This window comes from Homo sapiens, chromosome 20, assembly GCF_000001405.40.
Source record: "Homo sapiens chromosome 20, GRCh38.p14 Primary Assembly".
In the NCBI taxonomy this organism is placed as follows: domain Eukaryota; kingdom Metazoa; phylum Chordata; class Mammalia; order Primates; family Hominidae; genus Homo; species Homo sapiens.
The window spans coordinates 28,580,301-28,604,184 of NC_000020.11; the positions used below are offsets into that span (position 1 = coordinate 28,580,301).

At 36.4% G+C, this 23,884-nt stretch overlaps 1 pseudogene across 1 annotated transcript, besides 4 other annotated features; it reads right to left on the reverse strand.

Moving 5' to 3' along the window:
* Positions 1-23,884: part of a centromere (Linear centromere model derived predominantly from reads generated in PMID: 17803354. This region does not represent an actual centromere sequence, as long-range ordering of repeats and unmapped WGS contigs is not provided by the model. For details of model production, see http://arxiv.org/abs/1307.0035.) that runs on past both edges of the window.
* On the reverse strand, positions 333-22,365 carry FRG1CP (FSHD region gene 1 family member C, pseudogene; annotated as a pseudogene). The gene is made up of 9 exons (NR_132315.1): positions 22,309-22,365; positions 20,092-20,161; positions 11,094-11,219; positions 10,257-10,314; positions 8,343-8,457; positions 5,999-6,103; positions 2,719-2,810; positions 1,619-1,729; positions 333-444 (listed from the first exon to the last, which is right to left on the reverse strand). The product of NR_132315.1 is annotated as an FSHD region gene 1 family member C, pseudogene (transcript).
* Positions 22,209-22,268: an enhancer, noted in NCBI's record as "active region_17681". NCBI's record gives its function as "activates an Ori minimal core promoter by ATAC-STARR-seq in GM12878 lymphoblastoid cells {active_cell/tissue: GM12878}" and the evidence as "EXISTENCE:reporter gene assay evidence [ECO:0000049][PMID:35858748]".
* Positions 22,469-22,608: an enhancer, noted in NCBI's record as "active region_17682". NCBI's record gives its function as "activates an Ori minimal core promoter by ATAC-STARR-seq in GM12878 lymphoblastoid cells {active_cell/tissue: GM12878}" and the evidence as "EXISTENCE:reporter gene assay evidence [ECO:0000049][PMID:35858748]".
* Positions 22,819-22,878: a silencer, noted in NCBI's record as "silent region_12755". NCBI's record gives its function as "represses an Ori minimal core promoter by ATAC-STARR-seq in GM12878 lymphoblastoid cells {active_cell/tissue: GM12878}" and the evidence as "EXISTENCE:reporter gene assay evidence [ECO:0000049][PMID:35858748]".

Consider the following 23,884-nt stretch of genomic DNA (forward strand, 5'->3'; position numbering starts at 1 on the left):
CAAAGCCTTGTTGATTGGATTGGGAGTTTCTAACTTCCTATGAAAGGCACTGATTAAGCATCTATTGTTTAAAGTAAAGTAAGATTATGATCCATTAAGAAAGATTCCACAAGTAGCGCAGGAAGAGTTGGTTTCTAGTACACTTCATGCTTCAGGACAGGAAATACAGAAAAAAATTCTGTGGTACGTTAAATGTGTACTGTAAGTTTCATTTCCATGTGAAAAACTGTAGTTAGCTAAAAAGTACATCCATGAAGAATCCTGATTAAACTTGTTTAATCCTGGTTATACTAGCTACTAGCTAAACAATAATTTCACAACAACTCAAGAACTCTGTAAAAGCATTTCCTCTGAATATTTTATTCAGAAAAAAAACACAAAAAGGTAAGACAGAAACAAAAATCCCAGTCATCTGCAGTATCTGTCGGCTTTCAATTTGGTTCTCTTTTTTAAATAAAGAAAAATAGTAAAATTAATCTATGTAAAACATGCCATATATATTCAACTGCTACTAAATATAAAAAGCTTTAAAACTGTGTGTTCAATTTTGGTTATTGTATTACCACAACACTTATATTAAAACATGTATACTTTTAAATTGGGTTTCCATAAAAAATGGATTCTAATCTTATAAAAGTTATTTCCTAATATTCAATAAATGTTGCCTAAGGGCTTTTCAATCCAAATAGCAATTTTAATTATTCTGGAATTTAAGGGTGCTCTAAATTTCCATTTAACAGGGTGAGAATGCTGTATTATTACAAGTGAAAAAAGTTACAGGACACAGAGCTTATTCCGTTTTAGAGTCCATATCCTGATTATATTTTATATCCTCTTCTTGATTTCTTACAACTAGACACATATTCATTTGCTCAGCTGGAAAAAATTCTTAACATTATTTACTGACTTTAGGTATGAACTCTACCAGCTAGTTAACAGGAAATACATAATTAAACATTGCCTTTATCAAGTAATGTAAAAAAAGGGTAAGAGTAACTTTGCAACATAGGACTTGAATGAGCAGCTGGTGATTATCAACATCTGGCACTTAACTGATTTATGCTTGTACACTCACAGCTAAACGTCTCTACCTGTTTTTCTATGTTGTAAATCTAGGCCATCACTTATCTACATAGGAAGAATAATAAATATTAATAATGTGCTATGATAAACATCCTGCACTCTTCCAAATCTTACAATAAAACTGCTTCAATTTCACTTATTTAGCTTTTATACTTAGTTTTTTAGTTGATATATGCTTATTTTAAGGAACCTGAACTACTCTAACAGAATCCACATAATTTTTGTATTAGTCAAACTGCTTCTTTCTAACTCTGGTTCTAATAGTTATAAAAAGATAATGATAAATTTATGAAGTAGATACAGTCAAACCTGAATTTCTTAAAGTATATACTTAGAATCGGTTATAATTTTTAGATATTCTTTCTTGACAGTCTTTTCCCAAACTCATGATGTCCTCTCTAGGTAATATTGCCACACTCATAAATTATAAATAAAGACAAAAATGTGAAAACTACAGTAATTTAAGAGAATATAGCTTTTCTACATGCCATTTCTATTGGCTACTGAAAAATAGTGAAAATAAGTAAATAGCTACCTGTCCAGAAGCGTTTCATGCAAAAATCCATCTTTCTGAGCCTTTTTAAGAATTTTACTCTCTTCTTTACTTATTTTAAGTTTGTGGTCTTGGAAGCTCTGAAATTTCTTTCTGCAAAGAAAATGTCTTCATTGAAAAATACCTCAAACTCTGATTATACATATTTACTATTAAATTTATAAATACTGTTAATTTCTTTTTCACTTATTAAAAAAGTCTAATTGTAGGGCAGGCGCAGTGGCTCACGCCTGCAATCCCAGCACTTTGGGAGGCCAAGGCAGGCAGATCACTTGAGGTCAGGAGTTCGAGAACAGCCTGGCCAACATGGTGAAACCCCGTCTCTACTAAAAATACAAAAATTGGCCGAGGGCAGTGGCTTGTGCCTGTAGTCCCAGCTACTCGGGAGGCTGAGGCAGGAGAATCACATGAACCTGGGAGGCGGAGGTTGCGATGAGCTGAGATCATGGCACAGCACTACAATCTGGGGGACAGAGCGAGACTCCGTCTTGGGGGAGAAAAAAAAAAAGTCTAATTGTACATTTTTTTTAATAAGCTGGAGCTTTTGAACAACAAGATGAACTTTGTGACCTCTCAAGAGGAGGGCCACTCATTGACTGGGTAGCACAAAGCCCCACTTCTATTAGGGCATGCTGGCTGGAGTCCCCTGTGTCCTAGCCAGAGAACAGCCTTTGACTGGCATCACGCCCATTCTATGAATGAATAGAGAGGTTGACTAACCCGACTGAGTACCTTTGGGAGCTGGTAGGATGATTAGGAAAACTGAACCCTCAAGAAAAGAAAAGAATTTAGCTCAGTGCTCTGTCCTAGAGGCTACATCGTGTTGCTTCTTCTTGTCCATCAGTTTTTATTTTTTCAGACGGGATCTTGCTCTGTCACCCAGGCTGGAATGCAGTGGTGATCAGAGCTCACTGCAGCCTTGAACTCCTGGGCTCAAACAATCCTCCTGTCTCAGCCTCCCAAGTAGCTGGGCCTACAGGCATGCACCACCATCCCCAGCTAATTAGGTAATTTATTTTGAAAGCACTTTGAGAAGCACTTCACTGTCAAATCTGTAGGTCTAAAAGGAAAAGCATACACACACGTAATTGATTTCACATTGTTTTATATTTCCTTTGTCTTCTTCTGGAATGTCATCTTTTTTCTTGGTTTCTCTTTCAGCACAGGATCTAATCTAGATATTGGAAAAGAGAATCCAATGGGTTATATGTTTATCTTCCACCTTCCCCACTTTACGTATCACATAAGAATATTTGAGATGATTTCTTATGCAGAAGAAAAAATTAACTGAGCAACTATATTCAGAAAAAGACAGGTTCTGGCTATGTGTTTTTAATTCATATATATAATCTATATGAGTAAGTGCTATCATATGCTTCCTCCGCAGCCCTTGTGTCAGAAACACTACAGAAAAAATTATTTCAGAAACATTTTACACATCAGATCCTGCTAGGCAATAAAGAAATCATTCATTTAATTTTGTCCTCCAAGTGAATACACTAGGATCAAATTATCCCTAGTAGACAAGTGTTCATTTGATCAGACTGAAAGCTTAATAGCTATTTTACATTGCACAGACTATTATCAAAGTATTAAAACTTTTAACATTACACAACTTGTTTTTAATTAATTGGAACCCACCTCTTTTACTGGCTTCTTATATTCTCCTAAGTTTGGACAGATGTTTACTATCACATATCATTAGTTAATTGATCTGCATTCAACAATTAGGATTGTCTACAGAACAGGCAATTGGCAATGGTAAGGACTCATGTCTCCTAAATGATCTCTGTGGCCAGAGTCCAGTTCCAGGGCTGCTTAGAAAGTGATGACAAATAACATGTTTGTGCCAATGACATCTTTGTGACAGTTTTGATTAGAGGGGTCCCAGACCTGAAAACATTCCCTGCTAGGGCCTGTAACACAATGTTACCTTTAGTAAGAGGGATCTGTGTTCTGGTAGATAAGGCAAGGTCATAAAGGTGAAGGTCTGACAGAGATTAGGAGAGCCTGCAATTAAATGGTATGAAAAGAGTCCTAAATAATCACTGTTCAGAGCTTCCAAGTACTTGACTAAACAAAGAGACCCAGAAAACTTTGTATTTCATCTGAAAATTGCTTTAAATAGTGAAAAACTCAATCTTTGTGTATCTTTGTATCTTTGTATAAGTGCAAAGCACTGCACATATACTTGCAATTGTTGCCTTCAATAACACTTTTGTGATGATATCCAGATGTAAAATAATTTACACATGATACAATAAAATATAAATAAATAAAATTAAATGTAATCACAAACCCATCTTCATTTCCTCAATGACCTGTTTCCTGAGAAGCAATGTGCTATGAAATACGGAGAGTGGCCTCTGGAGTCAGCTGGGCCTGGGTACACATCCTGTCTTACCACACCTTGAAATCACTGTGATTTCCATGAACTGACTGACAAAAACCACGAGGATGTAAGGAGGGTCAGAGGCTGTCTTCCTGTCTGTAAGGCTGAGCTCACATCCACCTCACAGGAGCATTATGGAAATTCAAGACTACAACACATGTGCCCGATGCATGCAACGAAAAAATATAACATTTCACTTCTCTAACTGTAAGAAAAACCTACATTTTAGATTGAAATTGTTTGAGCTTTAGATTTGAAATTATCTGAAATCAAGACTATTCTAAAAAGAAAATCAAACATATGACCAGAAATCTAACATGAAGCACGTACAGAGAATTGATAGATGCTTTTAAATTACACTGGTAGTAGAGAAAAATGTAACATTAATTTTTATGCTCTAATTATAAGAACGAAGGGCATTTTAGAAAAGACATTTGCCCCCTCTCTTAGAGCCTTCCACTCTGGCCCCCACAATGCCTTACAGAGCAAACCTGGGTCAGACTGGATGCAACCTGTGACTCCCAACAGAGACAAACAAAGCAACGTTCAGGATGCTCAGTACTGCGATGGAATGCCAAGACACAGAAAAGCCATGTGTCAAGAAGGGGGGAGTTATTCTTTAGACACATCCTGGTATATGTTTATCATTAAAGATCAGTGGCTTTTGTAAGTCTAAAAAATTAAGCCTTAAATGTTTTCATCACATTCCAGTTAACTACCTGATTAGTCTAGGTTATATTAACAGTATTATTTAGAATTTCACCTTGAAATGAAGATGTCTGTATAACTTTTACAATGATGTAAAACAAAGAGTAGGATTAGGGAGGCCACAGGCTACTGGTGCAATAGCTAACGCGTCTGACTACGGATGAGGGAATTTAGCCTGGAATAAGGAGCTTTTATTTCCAGCTTAGTGATGCACACAAATTTTAAAAATAAAATAAAATCATGTTTTATGTGATTCATGTTTCTCCTAATGCAAAGAAGATGGGTACTATTAATAAAAATATCTTTAAAATGTAAGGGCTAAGGCCCCAGAAGTTCTGCTATGATTTTTTATGTTTCATAGAGTGATTATCATCACAGAAGCTCAAGCATTACATAAATACAAACGTGTATACCCCAACCTGGCAATTCTGCTTCTGGAAATTTATCTTCAAGTCCACCCGCACATCTACAAATTGATGCATATTCAATATTATGTACTGCAGCACTGTTTATAAGAACAAAAGACTGGAAACAGCCTAAATTTCCATCTACAAAAGACTAAATAAATTAAGGTACATCCCTAAAATGGAATATTATGTGGCTGTTAAAAAAGAGAGAGAGAGAAAGAGAGGAAAAGCAAGAAAAAGAGAAAACTTTCTACATTCAAACTAATAGTAGAAAACTCTCCAAGACACAATTTTAAGGAAAAAAAATCAAAGTCGAGAAGACTATAGAGGAGGCTGTCTTTAGTGTAAAATAGTTGAAAATTATAAATATATTCATATGTTTATAAAGAAATTTTAGGAGGCTATAAAAAAACAAAGGGAAAGAGGAAAAGGAGGTGGGAAACAGGTGAGTAAGATGCATGGCAGGCATATGTCTTCATCTTCATATGCTTTTATTTAAAAATGTTGGACCACGTGTACACGTTATCTATTTTAAAAATTAGATTTTAAAGTACAAGCAAGAAAACAAGAAAACGAAAGCTTAAAAAGAGCACGTGGAACTACCAGAAAAAGATACTAATCCATGGAGATAATGGCAAGGTAGCTCCTAGATGCACTGATTTCTCTACCACATTGTATAAACAAGCCATCAACTATGGGATTTATAATTTAAAATGACTCTATTTGAAACACCACATTATAAAAAGCCATTAACTAAATCTTTAAAGTGACTGTAAATGATGACTTAACATTTTAAAGAGATACAGTCACATCGCATGTGTGAATGCAGTCATCTGTATAAAATGTCATCATTACCTTGATCATTTCTTCTTCTCCTGCTGTTTTACTTTTTGCTTCTATGTCCTCTGCTTCACTGTATCTAATAAAGCAGCTATTTGAGGTCGACAAAGCCATTTTCCCCTAAGTGAAACAAAATAACAAAATAGCCATGAGGATACTTCTTGTAGAAGAAACATTAAGTGTTTACACTGAATTAATTTTTCCTCCCTGATTTAAAAATCACAGAAAAGAACTTAGAGAAAAACCTGAAAAATATAATAAAAGAACATATAGAAAAGGAAACCAAAATCACCTTTCATTTTACTATTCAAAGATTACCACAATAAACATTTGTAGCATATCTTCCTAGTAGTACTATTCTAATTAGATGAGGTAGGATTGCTTCCTTTCTAAAAGACCTACTGAAGATAAAACTGATTTAGTTCTGTTTGAAAAATTAACTTTAAAGATGAGAACATAATTATGAATGCATACTTTATTCAAATATTAGCATTTTAAGTAAAATTTATTTTCTTCACAATTAGAAAACATGAAAAGGTATATACAATGCCTTTGGTGTTTTTAATTTAAGAATCAATGTCTGAGGGACTTTTGTGTGTGAAAATAAATATTCATATACATTTTTAGTTGTTTAATGTTTGATGTATTACACTGCTTTCTATTAAACAAAACTTTAAAAACTGATTTTCTTGTGTATCTAAATCTGGGTTATAAATTTGGTTAGCTTAACTCCTGTAACAAATATAACATTTATTTATAACTTGTATTTGGTTGATTCTTTTGGAAAACTTGGAATACCATAACATTTAGACAAAATAGTTATAAATACAATGATTACAAAATATGTTAACCTTATATCACATCCAGTTAAAAATGTGCTGATAACATCGATTTAATTTCTTAGTCAAGTCACAAGGGCTGGGTGGTCTCTCATCTGGATGGCTCTGGGTGAGCCCTGGAACATGGTGCTGGGGTCCAAGGCGATTTAAACCTGTGTCACAGGTTATTCAGCTGAGTCCTTTTTGCAAGAGAGTTTTAAGACCCTCTTTCATTTAAATTTAAATTTGTGAAACTTAGTGTCCTTCCTAAAAATAAAATGAAATGAACTTTCCTAAAGTGTTGTATTATTAGTACTATCTAAGTCATCATCCTGGCCTTATGAAATATTGGCATTTTCTACTGGTGTAACTTTTATTAGAAGCATCTCATCGTAACTAGTAGGATCATCTCAAAGGGGTTGCAACACATTAGCAGGTAATGAAATCAATGTAGTGTTTCCTGAATGGTATTGGGTGGGGGGGGGGGGGGAAGGAAAACACACAGATACACAGCGGAAGGGTAAAAGAGAATAATAAATATCAAAGTGCATAACACATGGATAAGTAAATATTGTTAAGTGCAACTCTTGCTTCAGTTATACATATGTGTGTGCTGGGCTGCAATGTAAAAATGCATTTCTCAATGGATTGGGTCAAAATAGTTTTCAAGTCACTGACTTAAGATTTTATCCTAGGGGATGAGGAAATTAGTCTAAGTGATTACCTCTTTCTGGTGGGATGTTTGTTTAATCTGTCATCTTAGAAAACACTGCTGAGTTCCTATTTTCAGTTCATTATTGTATACTACCAAAGCTGCTACTCAAAGGCTGAGCTTATCTTCTATTTGCTTGTTCTGTGTGGTGCCCACTGGTCCTTACTGTTTTTGATATAGCTATCTACTTTTTAAAGACAGTTTAGCACTCACATATTTTTGTTCAATCTTTACTTCTCACACAGAAAAAGGAAATTATGTATTCTGTATCAACAAAACATCCATATACTACAACTACTTACTAAAATTAAGAATTAGTATACTATCTTTTTTCTTATATTAAATCTTTTCATACACTATTTTAAGCTTATGAACTGAAAGTCTTTTAGAGATAATTTACTTCAATGAACTATTATTATTTATATTTTATATGCAAATTGTCACAACTTGGTCTTAGCTAGCTCCACTGTTCACTTACAGTCTGTAATGTTTCTGAAAGCATCCATGATTTCTGCTACAAAGAAGATACTTAGGAACAATTCTGTTTTCCTACTCTGTGACCTAAAATTGACTGGTTCTTCAATGGAAATTAGATCCATATCTAGGCACTAAGGGTATACAGAAATAATTGTGGGCAAAAGTACTAATGCTATTTTTGTTGCACTATATTTTGAGATCTCTTTAAGGCTTTATGTTCTCACTGATTTATTCCTATTTAATGTATTATACTATTGCATCCTACTTTTTCTTTTTAAATATATTATGATTGACTGTTACAGACTTTCTGTTAAATTGACAGGGAGTTTTTATAAACAATAACAGCACTTACAATTTTAAAGACTGGTTCCCATTGTTCTCTTGGTCCAATTGCATCTGAACGCCCAACAACAAGTTCATCTGAATTTATACCAAGATATTTTCCATAGCCAGATTTCAGGGTGATTCTGTACATTAATAAGATAGATAAAAGTTAAAAACTGAGAGAAAATTAATTATAGGGCATCAAAACAGGACATGTGTATGTGTGTGGGTGTGTACATATCTAAAATTTCAGACTGGACATATTTCAAGTGTTCAAAAGATGCATGTGGCTGAGTGGTGACTCACTCCTGTAATCTCTGTGCTTTGGGAAGGCAATGGGAGAATTGCTTGAGGCAAGAAGTTCAAGATCAGCCTGGACAACATAGTGAGACCCCATCTCTACAAAAAATTTAAGAAGTTAGTTGGGCATGGTGGTGTGCACATGTAATACCAGCTACTTGGGAGGCTGATGCAGGAGGAGTGTTTGAGCCCAGAAATTTGAGGTTATAGTGAGCTATGATCACACCACTGCCCTCCAGCCTGGGTGACAGAGTGAGACTATGTGCCTTCAAAAAAAAAAAAAAAAAAAGGCTACATGTGACTGGTTGTTGCCATATTGGACACTGCAGATTTAAATTTAGTTTTATATTTTGCTTTTTTAATATAAACATTGTACCTTATATATTACATAACAAATATTTTCAAAATTCATCATTCTTCAATTATATCTCTTTAGTTATAAACTTCAATAATAAATTACTAAAACTATGTCATCAAACTGTTTTCCAGAAAATGCTGCTTCCATTTACATTCTTACCTCAAATTAACAGAGTATGTTTTGTATCATGGATTTTTTTTTAAACATTATGACTCTAAAAAAATACTCGAAAACCTGATATGAAAAAAACAGTATCCTATTAATTTGCATTTTAGTAGTTAACTAGAATAACAATTGTTTTTCTTTTCCTTTCCTTTTTACTTTTTAGATTATCTGGTAATGTCCCTTGTCCATTTTTCTATTCAGATCTGATTGTTCGCAATTTTTCTACTGGGGTCTTCAGTGCTATGAATTCTATACAAGATACATATGAACAGTAAGAACTCACTGCCTATTAAGATTGTTGCAAATATTTTCCTCATTTGTCAGTTGATTTTCTTTATAATCCTTTTCTGTTTATAATTGTAAAGCAGTTTAAAACTATTGAATTTTTTCTTCCTCTGCTTTTATTCTTTGTCTTTCACCCTACTTATCAGACTTTCAAAGAAAGAGTAGAAATAATCATCTTAATGTGATTTTTTAAAATTATGATTTCTTTTACCTTACCAAGAATCTCCTCGGATGCCAGAATTGACTTTTACTCCTTTATACGTTAATGATTGTATAACAGAAATCATTATCATGTTGATGTAACCAATTACTAAAATATGTAAATTCACTTTCAGTATCTTTTACCCAAAGAATCATTCTATACTTCTGCACAAGGTGAGAATAAAAAAGGTTACTTTATAAAATGACTGTAACAATAGTGAGTAAAAATATTATTTTGGTCATTATGATACTGTAACATTCTCTGCTGGTTTCAACAAATATTCCTTTTTTTTAGTCTTCCTGTTTGTCTTTAGACTTCGAAACAGTGAGTTTAAATATCATACCAACAGTGAACCAGGTTTTGTACTATTTGATATATTTTATAATCTATCTTATTTGGTGTGTGAAATTATTAATCTTCATTTTTTAACTTACATATCATTTTTCCAGCCTAGCATTATATATTGATAGGAAATCCACTAAAAGTAGATCACAAAATCTACTTCTCAAAAAAGCTATTTCATTTTTTATATCTAAATTACCGTGGGCTTAAGACAGATAGTAAAATTTTTAATGAATACAATTAAATTTTTAAAATCACTGGTTACTAATTATATTACAACTTAAGCTCACCTGGAATCAGATAATTTGACAGCCGAAAACTGCTCTGGAGGACTAGGGCCCTCATCAACTATTGGAGAAAAAACATTTGAAAATAAATTTGACATTTGCTATAAATATAAAGACATTATTTTGCTTTAAAAATGTGGCTATTTTCTTCTGCAATTAAATGTAAGAATATTCAGATATACTGATGTCACTGTAATACTGTATCTTTGGAATCAAGATCTATTTTACCTTCTTTTAACTACAGTGCTAATTTTATACACTGAGTAAGACAGGGTGATATAATGTTTATTTAATAACTTTCGAGATAGCTTCTCTTTATGTTTTAAAATACAGTCGTAAATAAGCACTTATTTAAAAAAGCTAAATGCTTTCATTTATTCAATGGATGGCCTTGCTGACCAAATGATACTGCTTTTTATCTTCTAATTACTTCGTATCTCATTAGTGCTTCCTCTAATGGGCAAGGAAAATGAGGAAACTTCAAATTGTTAAATGCACCCAGGTTAGTTTTGGTAATAGCTCTGAATAAAAAAGTAATTCAAACATGTTTGACTCAAATAGGTTTTCTTTTTTCCTTCCACTTACTATTTTAATTATTCATATTCTTATTATTTCCAAAGATACTCTTCTGGAACTACACGGAATGTTTTCAAATGCTTATATTAGAAAGAGGGACTTGCCAATGGCTGGTAAATATTAAGGAATTAAAAAAAATGGAAGAGTAAAATGCAATGGTTCCATTCCTTTGGAAAATGTTTGAGACTAGTTAGAGCCTGGCCTAAGTGAATGAATGTCCTAAAATCTACACTTGTGGCAGGATCTTCCCTTCCAGACACAAACCTTCTTTGTGTGGAGCTCCCAGGGTAAAAAGACCATTATCGAGTGCATGTATATAGGTTCCCTCATCCATTTCAATGGCTATGGTTCCTGAAATTTCACCAAAGTTTGTTACTGTCCACCAGATTCCTAAAAAATAAAATTGATATTTCTACTTTATATTTTAGTTTTGACACAGAGTTCTTTTTTATTATAACTTAGTTTTAAAAACTTTTTATTTTGCAGTCGTAAGAAATAATACGAAGATCTCACATATCCTTTACTCTCTTTGTCTCGATGACATCTTGCATAAGTATCATACGTTGTTAGAATCAGGAAACTGACACTGATATAATCCATGAAGCTTATTCAGATTTCACCAGTTTTACATGTACTTGTTTGCATGTATGTGCACATATTCATGCAACTACCAGCACAGTCAGGATTAGGTTTTTAAAATACAAAATAGCAACATACAGCAAACCCAGCTACTCGGGGAGCTGGGAAAGAGGATCACTTGAGCCCAGGAGTTCAAGGTTATAGTGAGCTATGATCATGCCACTGCACTCTAGCCTGAGTGACAGAACAAGGTCCTGTCTCAAAAAAAGACCAAAACAAAACAAAAGGCAACATGTGAAGGTACAAAGTGATATATGGAGAACGGTCTCTCTCATGATAGACCCCAGCCATCTATTCATGCCTGCTTTCCAGAGGCAATGCCTATCATAATGCTTCTTAAAAATGCCTCTACAGGAAGACTTTCTAGCATAGTAATCTTTTTTTTTTTTTGAGACGGAGTCTCGCTCTGTCGCCCAGGCTGGAGTGCAGTGACGCGATCTTGGCTCACTGCGACCTCCGCCTCCTGGGTTCAAACAATTCTCTGCCTCAGCTTCCCGAGTAGCTGGGGTTACAAGAGCCTGCCACCATGCCCGAATAATTTTTTTTGTATTTTTAGTAGAGACAGGGTTTCACCACATTGGCCAGGCTGGTCTTGAACTCCTGACCTTGTGATCCACCCGCCTCTGCCTCCCAAAGTGCTAGGATTACAGGTGTGAGCCACCGCACCTGGCCAGTAATCTTAACTACAATTTTAGATTGAAAGTAAAATGAGCAGAATCTATGTCTATGTATACTAATTTCCAATTTGCCAATAGAAATGTTAGACTCTAGCAACAATTATTTTAGCAGTTGTCATAAAAATTTATATCTTAATGTTAAAAAATATCCTCAAACCTCCTCCTAAATTGTACTTTAACTAGAGTAGAAATGAGTCAATCATTAACTGGATATGACATATTAAGGAATTCTTGTTAATTTTACAAGGTCTGATAATGACATAGTATAACGTATAAAAGTAAAGAACAAAACAGGTGATGAGAGAAAGACATACCATGTTAAGAAATGTACATTTATGTGCTTATGGGTAAAATGATGCAATATCTGTGATTTTACTTAAAATTTTCTAGGAAAAATTGTGTGTGGGAGTGTGTATGAAATGAAACGAGATTAGCAAAATATTGATAATTAATGCTGGGGCCTGGGCACATGGGGGACTCATTATATTCTTCTATGTATGGATTAGTTTGGATATTTCCATAATAAAAAGGTTTTAAAGATTCAGTTAATTCCACTGCACAAAATTTTCTATTCAACTAAACATTTCATGCTTTTCATAATCAATTTTAAAATACATAAAATTTTAGCTAAAATGAAGTTGGACCCTTATCTAACACCAAATACAAAAAGTAACTTAACATAGACCAAAGAACTAAATGTAAGAGCTAAAGTTAGAAAACTTTTAGAAGAAAATGGGAAAAGCTTCATGACAATGAATTTGGCAATGATTTCTTATATAGAACATCAAAGGCACAGGCAACAAAAGAAAACACAGACAAACTGGACTTCATCAGAATTAAAAACTTTTGTGCATCAAGAACCACTGTCAACAGAGTAAAAGGTAACCCAGAGAATGGAGACAATATTTGTAAACTACATACATTATAAGGAATTAATATCCAGACTATATAGAGAACTCCAAAAAGACAAATACCACAATTCAAAACTGGGCAAAGGATATACACGGACATTCCTCCAAAGATGATATACAAATGGTCAATAAGCACTCGAAAAGACGCTCAACATCACTAGTCACTAGGGAAATATAAATCAAAACCATAATGCAATGCCACTTCACACCCATTAGAATGCTATTATCAAAACAAACAGAAAACAGAAACCAAGAAAACCAGAAAAACAAATGTTGGGCAGGATGTGGAGAAACTGAAACCCTCTGCAATGCTGGTGGGAAGGTAAAATGGTGCATGTATTTAAATGCCACTGAAGTGTACACGTAAAAATAGAAAAATTGGCAAATTCTATACTCTGTATATTTTACCTCCACACACACACAAAACCAATGGAGAAAAAGAAAATTAGTCAAAATTAAAATTTCAGCTACAGACGATTGGAAAGCAATAAAACTAATGACAATTTAGGTGGTTGAGTTATAGCTACAATTGTTTTCAGTAAAGGAAATAATGCTTTATTCAGAATCATTATGAACAGTGTTATGATTAACAAGTCTTTCTTATAAATGTAATAGTTAATAATTTTAAATTAGTTTTATTTTGTATGTTCTATGCCACGTTCACCAAGTACACTTAATATTAAATAAAATCATTTAAATATAATATCTCATTAATGTTTTGCAAATGAAGAAGAAATTTCTGGCAGAGAAGCTCCTCAAAATTTTCACCCTCTGTCCAAGTAGGAAAATGATACAATAATATTACTTATAATATTGTCAACTGAAAAAGAAATTACTTTGAGCAGATGCCAGTATTTCTTCTCAATGAGATTTCAAAGAATAAGAAAGCTAAACACAGTATCATCAAGAATTAAATGTGAGCATTCTGCCTACTTTGTGCAAGTGGCCTACATTCAACCTTTGGAGGTATGCTCATATGTTTAATGACTAAAGTAACATAACATAATACTTAACGGTGCCACTCGGGGGTTTTAGCTGTGAAAAAGCAGTGGATCCTAAGAACAGTGGGCACTGAAGTTGCCTGTCTCTATGTCAGGTTACAGCTCAAGCTGTGTATATGCTGCAGACGCCCAAGCTGAATTTAAGAGAATCCGCTCTAAAACATTACTTGCTATTTAGACACATGCTTAAAGTTATTTCCTTTTAAACCTTAGGCAGATGGTGAAACATTCCCGCTGTGTTGTTGTCTCACAATGCATAACAAAGCTTTTCACATATTTTCACATAGTTGAGAATGTTTCCATACGTCTGGCATGCCTGTAATCCAGCACTTTGAGAGGTGGAAGCAGAAGAATCACTCAAGCCCAGGAGTTCAAAATCAGCCTAGGCAACAAAAGGAGACCCCTATCTCTATAAAAAAATTAAGAAATTAGCTGGGTATGGTGGTACAAGTCTGTGGTCCCAGTTACTCGGGAGTCCGAGGTGAGAGGATGGCTTGAGCCTACAAGGTCGAGGGTGCACTGGGCCATGATCACGTCACTGCACTCCAGCCTGAGCAACAAAGCAAGAGCCTGTCTCAAAAAAAAAAAAAAATGGCCTGATGCACCAGTGTCATGGCTGATAAGATACTCCCAGGGCACCCTCATTCTAGCATCAAGGCTGTGAGACAGCTCACCTCACCTTCTGACTAACCCAGTGCTTCTGTGCTAAGGGCCCCCTTAAATCTCTACCTTCATTATGTGCTTGGCACAAAGGAATGATATATCTTAGATTCGGAAATGGAATTTTATTCCCAAATCTTACTGTAGTCTAAGTACCCTTCACAGACCTTCTATTAACCCATAGCTTACTTAGCTTTAGTTCCTGGGTAAATCAAATCTGTGTTTTGCAAACTACGATGTTGTAAGTCAATTGCTTCTGAATCTAGCAGAGCTCAGTGAAACTATTTGCTTACAGACATGCTCATTTTTATTAATGTCACACATGGTATTCTCCATGTGAAAAACAGAATTTCTTTCATCCTGTTTACCAATCCCTTCAGATCCTTGTGAGGAACCAACAGAACAGCTTTAAAAAATTAAAAGGTTTTTTTCTTTCCCTTCACAAATAGGCACATGCTTATTTTTACGGCGAGTTTAGAAAATCCACAATGCAAAAGAAGGTGGAAGGACAAAGAGAAAAAGACGCAGAAGGACTTCCTCTTCCAGCCAAGATGGACTTGCCCTCCCACCATGACCAATGAGAAAACTGAAACTGGACAGAATATTTGAGAGAACTGTTTTTGGGGATTGGAACACAGGCAGAACAGGACTGTGATATTTGAGAACAGGAAAACACAGGAGGCAAATCTAACACACACTTCTGTTTTCTGCCCAATGGCAGTTTCTTGATGACGCAGAGAGAGGTAGAGAACTCCAAAAATGAGGCAATGTCACTGTCACTAAGCTGAGAGTCTTGCAGTGCTAACATGTTTGGAGTTTATAGAATAAGGTACTGGAGAAGAGGGTGAGGCCTCAAAAGAGTATGCAAAAGTTCTCTGCAGGTCTGGGGCCAAGGGCTGGGGGGAGTGCATACAGTAGGCAGGCTCCACAAGGCCCATGCAGAGTGGCTGGCACTTCTGAGGGCTGACTGGAGATGCCAGAGATCACACAAATTTGGGACATAGCAGAGTGGAGAGAACTCACCAAATATACCTAGAACATGTGGCTGAGGCCCATGAGGATGAAACTTTCCTAGAGTAAGAGTCACTGTCTAAGTCTACAGGCAAAAACCTAATAAATAAGCACAAACTAACAAAGGCCCAGGCTTGACAGGAGCAAAAGGGTGGTCAAATAATTTAACTAGGCATCAAGACATTTAACAGAAATAAAGGTTAAAATGTTATGAAAATGAAAGACTGAATTTATAAGGAAGACTTAACAATCCTAAATGTGTACACATGACAGCCTCAAAATACTTTAAGCAAAAACTGCTCAAGTAGACAGATCTAGAATTACAGCTGGAGATTTTAACATAACTCTCAATACATTGTAGGATGAGTGAAAAATCAGTAAGGACACAGAAGATGTCCATAGTCACAAGCTCCACCAGTTGATATAACTGACATCTAAAAAACACTGAACTACCAGGCGCCACAGCTCATGCCCGTAATCCCAGCACTTTGGGAGGCCGAGGTGGGCGAATCCCCTGAGGTCAGGAGTTTGAGACCAGCTTGGCCAACGTGGTGAAATCCTGCCTCTATTAAAAATAAAAAAAAAAATTAGCCAGGCATGGTGGCAGGTGCCTGTAATTCCAGCTCCTCTGGAGGCTGAGCCAGGAGAATCACTTGAACCTGGGAGGCGGAGGCTGCAGTGAGCCAAGATCACGCCACTGCACTCCAGCCTGCTGGGCAACAGAGCAAGACTTCATCTCAAAAAAAAAAAAAAAAAAAAAAAAACAAACAACAAAAAAACCCTGAACCAACATCTGCAGAATACACATCCTTTTCTAGTGTACATGGAAATTCGCTAAGAAAGTATGTTCTCCAACTATACTATAAGTGAATTAGAAATCAGCAACAATATCATACCTATAAATCTCTATGTAGTAGAAATTAAAAACAGTACACTTTTAAATAACTCAAGTGTCCATGAAAAGAAAAATCACAAGGAAAACTAGAAGATATTTTGAATGGAATGAAAATGAAAACAAAATGTGTTGACTATAACTAAAACTAACATGGAATGAGGAGATCTAACTCCCTTCTTAAGAAGCAATAAAACAAGAGCAAAGTAAACTGAAAATAAGTTAAAGGGAGGAAAAAAAAAAGACTGAAAATAAATGAAATAAAACATGAAAAAAAGAAAAAATAAGTAATGTTGAAACAAGCTTGTCCAACCTGAGGGCTGCATGTGGCCCAAGCCAGCTTTGAATGCAGCCCAACACAAATTCATAAACTTTCTTGACACATTATGAGACTTTTTTGCTTTTTTTATTTTTTGGCTCATCAGCTTATCGTTAGTGTATTCTATGTGTGGCCCAAGACAATTCTCCTTCCATTGTGGCCCAGGGAAGCTAAAAGATTGAATACCCCTGTACTAAAAGATCATTAATGATCTAAAATAAATGATCTTATAAAGAATTGATAAACCTCCAGCTAGACTGACTGATCCAGGAAAAAATGGAAAAACAAAAATTACCAATATGAAGAGACTGCAATACAGATTAGATTCTACAGACATTAAAAGGATATTAAAGGAATATTCTGAACAATTTTATGCCAATAAATCCAGCAACTTGGATGAAATGAAATTTTCCTAAAAGACACAAATTACCAAAGCTGACAACAGAAAAATCTGAAAATATCTCTTAAAAAATCTTAATTTTCCCTCAAAATCTAAAACCAAACCAAACAAAACCCTCTAGGTTCAGATGACTTCACTGGTAAATCCTATCAAACATCTAAAGAAGAAATCATACCGATCTTACACAGCTATTTCCAAAAACAGGGAAGGAGACAGCACTTCCCATCTAATTTTATGACACCCAATATCACCTTGACACCAAAATCAAATAAAGCCATTACAAGAAAAGGATACAAAAGTCCAATATCTCCCATCAACACCAATATAGAAATCTTATAAAGAAGAAAAACGAACACCTAGAAATCAAATCTAGCAATATTCCAAAAGACAACGCACCACAACCAAGTGGGGTTTATCTCAGGGATGTAAAGTTAGTTTAAAAGTTGAAAATGAAACCAATGTTATTCAATGGCAGAATGAAGAAAGTTGTATAATCATCTCAAGAGATTACAGAAAGAGGCACTGGACAGCATTAAACATCGTTATGATAAAAACTCCCAAGAAACAAAGTCCTCATTTTGATAAAGTTTTTCTCTGCAGATCCTACAGACATCATACCATATGGTGGACTACTAAAAGTTTTCTGCCTAAGCTTGGAAACAATGCAATTACGCCCATTCTCGTGACTTCTGTTCAACACTATGGAAGTCCTGAACAGTATAATAAACCAATAAAAAGCAAGACAAGACATAAGGATTAGGAAGAAAGAGGTAAAATGATAGTCACAGGAAACATAATTGCAAATTTCTTAGTTTTCTATATAAACAAATCATTAGAAGTAAGAAGTGAAACAGACTTATCAGACTACAAAGTCACTATACAAAAATCAATTGTATATCTACATACTGACAGCAAACAACTGGAAAATCAAATTCAAAAGTTCTACTGACAGTAGTGTAAAATTATAAAATACTTAAGAATAAATTTTTAAACAGGCATGCAAGACTGCTACATTGAAAATTATGAAATATTGAGGCCCAATATTAAGATGTTGATTCTCCCCTAAATTATCTGGACTCGATACTATTCTCTGAGAAAATCCAACAGGCTTCACTGTAGAAATTAATAAACTAATAGTTAGTAAGTACAAAGTTGGTGGACACACACTACCTTATCTCAAGACTTCATGAAATTATAGCAATCAAGAGAAATATACCAAAAGAAAAACAGACAATTGATAGAATAGAGTCCAGAAATAGACCAATACATAGAAAGTTAATTGATTTTTTATGAAGATACGAAACTGGATTAATGGAAAAAGGAAACACCAGTGGTGCTGGCACAAATGGCTATCAAGATGTTAAATTTAAAAAAAAAAAGTAAATCTTGAAACCAAACTCACACCATGCCAAAAATTAATTTGAGATTAGTGACAGATTTAATGTAAAAATTAAAACTATGATGCCTCTAAAAGACAATGTAGAATATTTTCCTGATTTTGGGGTAAGCAAAGATCTCTTAGGTCAAAGAGATAAGGCAGTAACCATAAAAGAAAAAAAATAAACTAAGATTTATAAAAATTAAAAGCTTCTGACCATCCTGGCTAACATGGTGAAACCCTGTCACTACTAAAAACACAAAAAATTAGCTGGGCGTTGTGGCAGGTGCCTGTAGTCCCAGCCACTTGGGAGGCTGAGGCAGGAGAATGGCGTGAACCTGGGAGGTGGAGCTTGCAGTGAACCGAGATCGCGCCACTGCCCTCCAGCCTGGGCAACAGAGCGAGACTCCATCTCAAAAAAAAAAAAAAAAAAAAAAAAAAAAAAGGTGTCCATCCGAAAACCACCATTAAGAAACTCAGACTGGGAAAAACTCAGACTGAGAGAAAAGACTGATAACACCATCAACTCTTGGCAAGGATGTAACTGGAGAACTAATTCATTCTTGGTGGGAGAGTAAAATATCGCAACCACTTTAGAAAATTTTTGGCAGTTTCTTATATAGTTAAACATTCACCTATCCTTTGACACAGCAATTCCACATCTACATATCTACCCTAGATATTTACCCTAATTTTAGAATTGTTGATTTGCCATTTCAAAAACAATGATTCTTCCAGAATATTAGCTTTATACCATTCCATATTTTATATATTTTTTAAGCTACCATAATTTATGAAGATTCAAAATGCAACTTACCAAGTTTTAAAAGAGAAAAAAAAGTATGGAAACAGCTAAATGGAAAACAGGCTGGTTAAGTGTGTTTGGGTCAATTTATTTCCAGTATCATTTACAGGCTACCCTGATATTGTATTTAAAATTTTCATTCATTTCAGAGTTCACAAAATAATGATTTTTCCTGTGAAGATACTTCGTTTAAGAGACAACTGACTTCTACAACTAAAATGTATACATGTTCAAAGAAAATAACTTGTAAAATATATTTGGTTGAATAACATTTACATTAAGCCTTTAAAATTATGTATCAGAATCTCCGGCTATTAAGCAGTCTAATGGTGCCTACTAAGTCAGAGAGTTGTAATTCTTCTCTCCTGTGCTCTGTTCTGATAATGAAGTAAAGGCATCAGTAGCATCTACTGTGCTAAAGAATAAATGGAATTTGCAACTGTAGGTAATATTTAAGCACTTTAAGACAAATATGAATACATCATAAATTTCTAACTAGGAAAATATTTTCAATGAGATCTCAAGAAATGTTAACTTTTTTCAGAATAAAGCATTGAAAACTGACTCACCAACATATCAAGCTGGGTTTCTTCATCTTCTTCTCTTTTTCTTTTCTTATCTTTGTTCTTTTTCTTCTTACTACAGGACATAATTTATATAGATGAGTTTAGGTATATTGATTTGTGTGATAAATAAATATCATAAGATTGAAACTTGGAAGTCTTTTAAGCTGTTTCATTTATAAATTATTGATTTAGGAAGACTTACATTGCTATGCTCTCTTAAATACAGCGCTGAGAATTTGCTTCAGGCTTTGTACATATTATGTTAAAGTTCAAAGCAGATTGTAGAGCCACACTTCCAGATTTTAAATCCTGATTCTGTCACTTCTTAGCTCTGCAATTTTTGGAAAAAGTACTGAATCTCTCTGTGAGTCAGTTTCCCCACTTAAAAAGTTAGGATAATAACTTAACTCTTAAGGCTATTGTGAGGATTAAGAGGTAATATGTATCTTCACACATTGCTGGTGGAAATGTAAAATGGTGCAGCATCTACAGGAAACAGTTTGGCGTTCCTCAAAAAGTTAAAGAGTTACCATATGACCCAGCAATTTTACTCCTAAGTATGTATACCCAAGGGAAATGAAAACTTACTCCCACAAAAATACTTACATAAGAATATTCACACTAGCATTAGTCACAATAGTCAAAAAGGGGAAACAACCTAAATGTTCATCAACTGATGAATGGATGAACAAAATGTTACATCCATACAATGGAATACTACGCAGCCATAAAAAGGAACAAGTGCTACAACAATGATGGACCTCAAGAATGTTATAAGTGAAAGAAGCCAGATACAAAAGGCCACATGTTGCATGATTTCTTAGGAAATATTCAGAATAGGCAATTTCACATAGATAGCAGACTAGTGGTTGCCAAGGACTAGGAGAGGGGGAGGATGGGATGTGACTGCTCTAATGGGTAGGAAGAGATTTCCTTCTGAGATGACGAAAACACTGAGAAACTAGACAGTGGTGAACCTCTTGAATATATACTAAAAACCACTGTACAAAAGGGTGAATTTTATAATTATGAATGACATCGTAATAAAAAAATAAAAAACCAAGAGCGACTTGAAAAAAGTTAATGTGCAAAGTGCCTACAAATATTTCTTGGCACACTGAAAGTGCTATACAAGCATTAATTATGATTATTACGATAATCTTAAGACACTCTTGTCTGCATTATCATCATAAAGTTTTCAGAAGATAACTCACCACTCCTCACAGGAAATTCACAGAGTAAAAATCTCACATTCATTCAGGATATACCTGCCACTTATTCTGGCATCCTCATGAGCCCAGACTCCTCGAGAGGGTTCTCAAGGGCAGTGGCTTCAGCTCACTCCTTGATACTTTCTTTCCATCTCGCCTAAAAATATCAAAACCTCTGTTTATCACGGAGACCAGGAGGAAATGCTCAATATTTGTATGTACAGTCAACCTCGGGCAAATCTGCCAGTTAAAAAAGAAGCGGGGATATGAGTGCACAGGTATTTTTCTCCTAAAGAGCTAATAAATTACCACTACGACCTCCTCCTGACATTTGGCTCAATTTATTTACTGCATATATGTTCTCTCATTTAATCCTCACAGTATTCTAAAGGTATAAAAAATGGTCTGAAAGTATAAATGTGTAAACGGAGGTTCAAAGATATTTGATCTCTTAATGAGTAAATGGAAGTTCAGACATATTAATCAATTTGCCACAAATTACAAAATTAGTAAATGACAGAGTGCAGGTTCCAACCCATATCCCTATCAAAGCCCATATACACCTCAACCACTGTGTGATTCATCCTGATTTCACTCTACATATTAGCTTAGAAAAAATTAATCAATAACTTTTCCAGGAAGAGACAATGGAGAAAAGAATAATCCCTAATAAAGGAAGTTATCATCATGAGCTACAAGATCAGACTAACGCAGACTCACCAGGCAGAGGCCTGGAGAGATGCCTCAGGGGACCCAAACTCGTGGGTACGGGGCCACGGGTCACCCGCCCGTCTATCCTGTTTCCAGGGTCGTCCGCGCGGGAGGCTGCCCCTCTCTGCACAGGCGCCAGGAACCGCTATCTGGCCTCCATCCAGCCCGGACAGGCGCCAGGGCGAAGCCTGGGATGCCACAAAGCCAGCTCTCCGCGGCACGACTTCCACCGGATTCGCGGGGGTGGAGTGCGTCCGAAAAGAACTGAGAAGGCTCCCGCCAGAGCTGCAGGACCCACCTCTTCGCCTTGGTTCCCTTGAACACGAGCTTGGTAGTCTTCACATAGGAGTACTCGACTCTCAGAAGTCGGCTCCGGGAGACTTCTGCGCGGAGAGGCTGAAGCCGGCTCAGGACGAGTATGTGACCCGGAGCAGCACCAGGGCGGGGAGGAACAGAAGTGGAGGCAAAGTAAACATTCCCTGACTGGGTACGTCTGTCCAGAACCCGCCTTCATCTTGACCCAAACGCTGAATGGCTGAGATTTCCACTTCCGAGTTTCTGCTGGGGAGCTACGGCGGCCTCAGAGGGCCGAAAGGTGCCGCAGGCAGCTGCTCCCTGGCTCCCTCTCGAGGAGCCCCTGAGGATTCGTGCCTCCCCGAGGGGAGTAAAGTCCGCCCGAGGCGCCGGTACTGGCGGTGGCGGGGCTGCCGGGCGCGCTGTGAAACGGCCTACCGCTAGAGCTGCGGGCTGGCGACGGTCCCCGCGGGGGCGGGAAGCGGCTTAGGCTGCCTTCGTTGGCCTGCGGCGGCGCGGCTGGAAGCGCGGGCCACTCGTGCGCGGGTCACTCGGGGCTGTGCCTCGTGCGACTGTGTGTGTAGGCAACAAGCAGGAAATACCCTAAAATAGAATGAAGCACCATGTTGAGGGCCGCGGACGTCGCGAGTGCTGTGGGAATGTGGGCTGAGGTGGAGAGTTATGGTGGCGCGTGTTACAAGCTCAGGGGTCAGGAAGAAGGCTAATCGTGGAGGCGGCATCTGTGGAGGGTCTTGAACGCTGGGCAGGCTTTTGCCCGATAGAGATAGAGGAAGCTAGTCCTGTCTGATGGAGGAAACAGGGCGGAGGCGTGGAGGGAGCCGCAAGCAGGCCAGGCCTGTAAAGCAGAGTGATGGGAACCAGGATAGAGAAGGCAAGTCGGGGTCCTGTTTTCGCTGAAGAATTTGAATGAAATCAGTAAACAGGTGAGAGGGATCCATCGCAAGAGCATGGGATGAAACGAGGAGTAGTCCACGGTGATTCCTCTGCAGCGGTGGGTATTATTCATCGCGTATGTGACACCAAAACGGTGGGTATTATTGATCGCGTATGTGACACCAAAACCACCCCACTCCACTCAAGCTGTGGCTCTTTCCCTAAAGTAGAAAACAGAGACCAGTTGGGTTCCAAGCATCCACGAAGATCTTATTAAATTCGTGATCCCTGGTGGTACCATGGAGTCAGGATTGGCTCATCTCAAACCTGACTCAGAAACAAAACCATCTCAATGTGCAGAGATGAGCGGCCTTACCCGCTATCATAACATATTTACTGGTGTTATCACAGTGCTGCACTTCCTAATCCCCATTCCAGGGCAATCCACATGCCATGATGTCCAGAGGCATTAACAAAGGAGACACACAGGGGCTCCTCACGTTTGCTTTCCGCGGTTTTGATGAAAATCTCAGTTTCCTCACCTCATACAATGTGGTTAGTAATAGTACCATTTAGGGTGGAAGAATTAAATGGTAAGAATTATATAGGGTGCTTATTATAACCTACATGGAAAATGCCTAGGATATGTTAGCTATGCTCATCACCAACATCGTTATATGATGGTA